Source organism: Homo sapiens, chromosome 12 (assembly GCF_000001405.40).
Source record: "Homo sapiens chromosome 12, GRCh38.p14 Primary Assembly".
Lineage (NCBI taxonomy): Eukaryota > Metazoa > Chordata > Mammalia > Primates > Hominidae > Homo > Homo sapiens.
The window spans coordinates 108,975,709-108,982,959 of NC_000012.12; the positions used below are offsets into that span (position 1 = coordinate 108,975,709).

Sequence of the window (7,251 nt, forward strand, 5' to 3'; positions counted from 1 at the left end):
TGTTGTTATTTGAGATGGAGTGTCACTCTGTCACCCAGGCTGGAATGGAGTGGTGAAATCTCGGCTCTCTGCAAACTCAGCCTCCCGGGTTCAAGTGATTCTCCTGCCTCAGCCTTCTGAGTAGCTAGGATTACAGGACGCGCCACCATGCCCAGTCAATTTTTGTATTTTTGGTAGAGACGGGGTTTCACCAAGTTGGCCAGCCTGGTCTTGAACTCCTGGCCTCAAGTGATCTGCCCGCCTCAGCCTCCCAAAGTGCTGGGATTACAGGTGTCAGCTACCGTGACCAGCCTGCAGTTACTCTTTAGGAGACATTGGTAAGAAGGAGGAATATAAAAAGCAAGTATCATGGACTCAGCCCCTGGTGTGTACTAGGGGCTGTGTGTATTTAACAAAATACACAGAAAAACAGGCATTATCACTCCCATTTCGCAGGCCACAAAATACAGCCATCAAGTGCCTCACTCAAGGTCACACTTCTGGAGGTGACTAAACCACAAAAACACAGGTGTATGTGCCATGAAACTCTTCCCACTGAGCTACACAACCTTATTGCTAATATCAGACTGGGCCATGCTGTGTGGAAGGCACTCAGGCCATTCCAGAACAGTTATCTACAAAAAACAACATTCTGGGAGGCATCCTGAATTGGCAGTGACTCCATCACTGATGCAGATCACAGACCTTGGGCAAGGGATTAACCTCTCTGTGCCTCATCTTGCTCAACTAATCATAGCGCCTAGCTCATAGGTCTGTGAGGATTAAAGAGCACATGTACATTGTGCATATATTGTATGCAATGTAGGTAAAGGCCTTTGCACAGTAAATGCTCTGTAAGTATTAGCTTTTGTGATTATCATTATTATCCTCTTATCCAGCCTGGCCATTCCTCTCTCTCTCTCTCTCTTTTTTTTTTTTTTAATTTGAGGTGGAGTCCTCCTCTGTCACCCAGGCCGGAGTGCAATGGCACAATCTCAGCTCACTGCAACCTCTGCCTCCCGGATTCAAGCAATTCTCCTGCCTCAGCCTCCCGAGTAGCTGGGATTACAGGCGCCCCCACCACGCCCAGCTAATTTTTGTATTTTTAGTAGAGATGGGGTTTCACCATATTGGTCAGACTGGTCTCGAACTCCTGACCTCAGGTGGTCCACCCACCTCAGCCTCCCAAAGTGCTGGGATTACAGGCGTGAGCCACTACGCCCAGCCCATTCCTCTCTTTTAAGAGGTTGCTGCTGATATCTCCCTGACAAAAAGTGAGGGTTCTGCAGCCTCCTCCTTCAAGCCTTAATTCCAGGGAGCAATAGCTCCAATTTATTGAACACCTACTCTATGCCAGGCACTGTGTTGTTTCCAGTCCTCAAATAATCCTAGGGATGTGGGGATTGGCACCTCCTGTTTGCAGCCAAGAAAACAGGCATACAGAGTTTAAGTGATATGCACAGGTGGGTTTCAAGCTCCCAGCAACAGAATAGGATGCCTGGGACACCCTCCCAAGTAGCTGGACCTCCGGGTGAAGTAGAGTTGGCTGTAAACCTGCTAGGATATGTGAGGTGGGGATGGGACAGTGTTTCCATCAGGGCTTAATTCTTTTCTGCTGAGCCTTCGGCAGCAGGAGAAGGGAGATATCCCACAGGACACCCCAGGGGAGCAGAACTGTATGCAACAGAAGGGAGCTGCTGGGCTGCCTACCGAGGTCAGCAATGCCACCTGCCAGCTTGGGAGCCTCCACTCGCAATGCAGCTGTGGTGCCAGGATGCTGAGGATCATCATCTCCATGGCATCAGCCATCTGCAGAGAGGACGGAGACATCATGAGGCCAGGATGCTGCTTGGTGCTGGGGAAGGCTGGCCAAGTCCATAACCCCAGAGACAGAGACTGTAGCACACCCCTCTCTACCCATTGCCAAGTGCCCTGCTGCACATCAAACCACACTCAAAGCTCCAGCAGTTAAAACCATGCATTACCATTGCAGGAATAGACAAATAGACATTTTATATTATTTTCGTGTGTGGTTTTTTTGTGTGTGTTTTAAAAAATATGGGCATATCACAAACAAAGTGGGAAAACATATTTCTAAAATCTGAGAAAAAAACATTTTTATAGATGCAGAGAGACAATTATCTTTTTGGTGCAGTTAAAGACTAGCTTGTCTTTGGCTTATAGGTCATTTGTTCATGTAGAATAGAATATAATTGTCAGTATAGTTAACAAGTGTGACCTTTTAATACATTAAAACAGACTCAGAATCCCTAGCAATTAAACATCGTGTACCTTTACGAGACTAGACAGACTAGGACAGACATGGAATCTAGAAGCATGCCCATGTCTTGGGAATTTGGTATACGATAAAGGCAGCTTTTCCAATTAGGGGGGGAAATGTTGTGGGGAAATTGACGATCCATTTGGGAAAATATGTAGTTAGATCACCATCTCCTGCCATTCACAAAAATTAATTTCAAGTATATTAAAGGTTTGGCTGTACTCTTTGCCATAGCCAGGGGATTTGAATGAGGGATCATGAGAGTCTTGAAGCAGAAGGCACATTTCTAATCTGTGCATGCTTTTCTAGGGAGAGCTCTACAGCTGACATCATAATCTCATAGTAGCCCTGAGCCCAAAGAGTTGAAAGCCACCTAATTAGCTAGAAAGTTCAACTCCTTCTTGGGGGCAACTGCCAAACACACCCAGCTCTCCTCAAGCACAGATCTCGTTATCACCACTTATTACGCCACATAAATTTTGTTGATTGAAATTCAAGCAAAGGCTCCATGTGCAAAGAACTGTGTCCTTCCTTGTAGGCCATGGAAACCCAGTTGAGCAGCATGGGGGTTTCTTGGAGGCTGAGCCACTGCCCCCCAGAAATACTTGCCCAAGCCAAGCCAGTGAGAACAGACAGCTTCCACTGAAATTTTCCAAAGCCAATGGCTTCCACTGCATCTTCCACCATGAAAGTATCTGGGAAGGAGAAAGGGAGAGGGAAGGAAGGAATCAGTGCACCTTGCAGTTGTCCTAGTGTGGGGTTTTCTGGGGTGGTCCCCAGCCAAGCTAATTAAACACAGCACATGCTGCTTTTAGAACTTATCCTAGAAAAATATTCCAGTGTGAAGTGATATCCTACAACTGCAGCATTACTTACAACGGGAGAAACGGAAAAACCCAGAATGTCCATCAACAGGAGTTGGCTAAATAAATTAAGTAGATATTATACATATATAAATTATTAAATATCCACATTATGAAATATGACCCAACAGTTAACAAGAATGTGCAGATATAGAAAGATACACAAAGTATATTGTTAATTAATGTTTAAAAATAAAACAAGATCGACAACAAGGTATTTAGCATGGTTCTATTCTTGGAAATGTACGCATGTGGGTGTACATGTATCTATCCGTAGAATATATACAAGGCTTTGAATTATGGTTTAATTTGTTTGTCAGAGGGAGGAAGGAAAAAATTATATGAGAATTAACTTTCTTCCTTTTACAATGTATTACTTCCATGGCCAGAAAAAAAAGAAATACTTCTTTGTTTTGTTTTTGTTTTGAGACAGTGTCTCGCTCTGTTGCCCAGGCTGGAACTCGGTGGTACAATCATAGCTCAATGCAGCCTCTATCTCCTGGGCTCAAGCCATCCTCCTGCCTCAGCCTCCCAAGTAGCTGGGACTACAGGCACATGTCACCATGCCCAGCTATTTTTTTTCTATTTTTTGTAGAGATGAGGTCTCACTATGTTACCCAGGCTGGTCTTGAACTCCTGAGCTCAAGCTGTCTTCCCACCTCAGCCCCTCAAAGTGTTAGGATTACCGATGTGAGCCACCATGCCCGGCCTGAAATACTTTTGAAAGGTACAATTCCATCTGCACTCCGATGGAAAGATGTGCACACTATATTGTTAAGTGAAAAGCAAAAGTTGTGGAAAGGTATGTACCAGAGGAGCTGTCTTTGTGATAAAATGTATATACGTGTGTGTGTGCCAAGCAGGGGAAGTAAGACTGAGTGGACATCTTACAAACTGCTTACCAGGCTCATCTTTGAAAACAACACTCACTTTCCTACTTTGAGAATTTCTTTAATGTCTGAATGCTTTCCAAATAAACAAGTGTTATTTTTATGCTCAGAAAAAAACACAGATATAATTTATAAGCTAATAAGTGTTTTTGAAACATACTAAAAGACGGCCGGATGCTGTGGCTTATGCCTGTAATCCCAGCACTTTGGGAGGCTGAGGCAGGAGGATCACTTGAGACCTGGAGTTTGAGAGCAGCCTGGGCAGCATAGTGAGTCCCCATCTCTACTAAAAATATTTTTAAAAAGTAGCTGTGAGTTGTGGCTCACGCCTATGGTCCTAGCTACCTGGGAGGCTCAGGGAGGAGGATGACTTGAGCCAGGAAGGTTTCAAGGTTGCAGTGAGCTGTGATCATGCCACTGCACTCCAGCCTGGGTGACAGAGTAAGATTCTGTCTCAAAATAAAAAAAATCCAAAAAACAAAACTAAACTAAATTAAAACACTAAACCCAATATGTTATGCTGGATTGTATCTGGGAATAGCACAATTGCAATGACTGGTGAAATCCGAATAAAGTCTGTAGTTGAGCTAATAGTAGCACACCAAGGTTAATTTTTTTAGTTTAGTTGTTAACATTAGGGGAGGCTGGGTAAAGGGTATGTGAGAAATGTCTATACTATATCTGCAATTTTTTTGTAAAGCTAAAATAATTCCAAAATGAATAGTTAATTAAAAAATAAAAATACAGCCAGGTGTGGTGGCTCACGCCTGAAATCTCAACACTTTGGGAGGCCAAGGCGAGCAGATCACCTGAGGCCAGGAGTTTGACACCATCCTGGCCAACATGGTGAAACCCCGTCTCTACTGAAAATACAAAAAATTAGCTGGGCGCGGTGGCGGGCGCCTGTAGTCCCAGCTACTCAGGAGGCTGAGGCAGGAGAATGGCGTGAACCCGGGAAGCGGAGCTTGCAGTGAGCCGAGATTGCGCCACTGCAGTCCGCAGTCTGGCCTGGGCAACAGAGCGAGACTCCGTCTCAAAAAAAAAAAAAAAAAAATTAGCCAGGTGTGGTGGCGCATGCCTGTAGTCCCAGCTACTCAGGAGGCTGAGGCAGGAGAATCGCTTGAACCCAGGAGGTGGAGGTTGCAGTGAGCTGAGACCGTACCACTGCACTCCAGCCTGGGTGACAGAGTGAGTTTCCATCTGAAAAAAATAAAAATACTAAAGGAGGATGCTGGGTGGCCCCGTGGGTGACCTCCGAGGATCTCATCAGCCCCTGCTGGGAGGTGTCATCTTTTTGGAATTTCAACCATGGGCTTTGTATGTCAATCATAATTTTCTCCAGAAGTGTGAGCTGGCGTTGATCACATTAGCAGGTTGTGGTTTCCTCCAGCAAAAAATATCATCCACAAGAAGAACAGTAGTGAGACTATTGTGGGGCATTTACTGGGTGCTCACTACCTGCAAGGCACTGTGCCGAAAGCTAGATGTGCATTATTTCATTTAATCCCCATCACAATCCTATGAGTTAAGGCCTAGTAGTAGCCCCATTTTACAGAGGAGGATATGGACTTGCCCTGTGTTTCACAGAGTTGGGAGTAGAGCCCAGATCAGCCTGAGAATAAAGCCTCAGCTTCCCTCCATCCCCTGTCATTGCCACCTTATCTCTGCCAACAATAGGCCTTGCATTCAAGTCATTAGTCCTCTCTTAGATTTGGAATCTGAGGCTTTTCAGGAATGCATAGAATGTTTTCATCCATCAGCAACAAGAAGTGAGGAAAGCTGGAGACCAGGTCCCACAGCACCGCCTCAGAGTCAGAACAAGGTCGTGGGTAAGAATGTGGGCTCTGAGGCCAGATTGCCTGGGCGTAAATCCAAATTGGCTAATTCCTAGCTGTATAACCCTCAGCAAGATACTTAACCCTTCTGTGCTTCAGTTTCCTCACCTGCAAAATGGGGAAGATGTTGGTAATAGATCCAATTGGAACTGTTGTGAGGATTAGATGGATAAAACATGTAAACTGGTTAGAGCAGTGCCTGGCACATAATAAATCCTCAGTCAATGTTAGCTACTCCCATACCATCATCAGTGTCACCATTACTATCACACTATCATCATAACCAACATCATCACCACCATTGTCATTATACTGTCATCCCCACCATCAGCACTATCACCATCGTCTTCACTATCAGCATCACCACCACTATCATCACCATCATCACCACCACCGCCATCATCTTCATCATCATCACCACCATCATCTTCATCATCACCACCATCATCACTACCATCATCATCATCACCACCATCATCATCACTATCATCATCATCGTCACCATCATAACCACCATCTTCATCATCATCACTATCATCATCATCACCATCGTAACCACCATCTTCATCATCATCATCACTATCATCATCATTGCCAACCTTATCATCACCATCTTCATCCTATCATTATCATCACCATCATCATGATCTCCATCATCATCTTCATCACCATAATCATCACTATCACCATCATTATCACCACAATCATCATCATCACCACACTATCATCACCATCATCACCACCACCACCATCATTTTCATCATCATCACCATCATCATCATCTTCACCATCATCATCATCACTATCATCACCACTGCCATCCTTATCACCATCTTCATCACTATCATCATCATCACCATCACCATCATCATGATCACCATCATCATCATCACCATAATCATCACTATCAACATCATTATCACCACAATCATCATCATCACCACCACTATCATCACCATCATCACCACCACCACCATCATTTTCATCATCACCGTCATCATCGTCACCATCATCTTCACCATTATCATCATCACTATCATCACCACTGCCATCCTTATCACCATCTTCATCACTATCATCATCATCACCATCACCATCATCATGATCACCATCATTATCATCACCATCATCATCATCACCATCATCATCACTGTCACCATCATCATCATCATCACTATCATCATCACCATCATCATCATCACTATCATCAACATCACCACCATCATCATCACTATCATCATCATCACCATCATCATCATCACCATCATCATCACTGTCACCATCATCATCATCACTATCATCACCACCATCATCATCATCACTATCATCATCATCATCATCATTGCCATCCTTATCATCTTTCATCACTAGCATCATCATCACCATCACCATCATGATCACCA

The 7,251-nt window shown here is 44.3% G+C and overlaps 1 protein-coding gene across 1 annotated transcript in view; it reads right to left on the bottom strand.

Annotated features, from left to right (window-relative positions):
* The window catches only part of SVOP (SV2 related protein), a 113,328-nt gene that overhangs the window by 67,968 nt on the left and 38,109 nt on the right, over nt 1–7,251 (bottom strand). Inside the window, exons 3-4 of the mRNA NM_018711.5 lie at nt 2,870–2,955; nt 1,690–1,788 (exon numbers count right to left, since the gene is read on the bottom strand). Coding sequence (NP_061181.1) covers nt 1,690–1,788; nt 2,870–2,955 — 185 coding nt within the window. The remainder of the gene's footprint in view (nt 1–1,689; nt 1,789–2,869; nt 2,956–7,251) is intronic.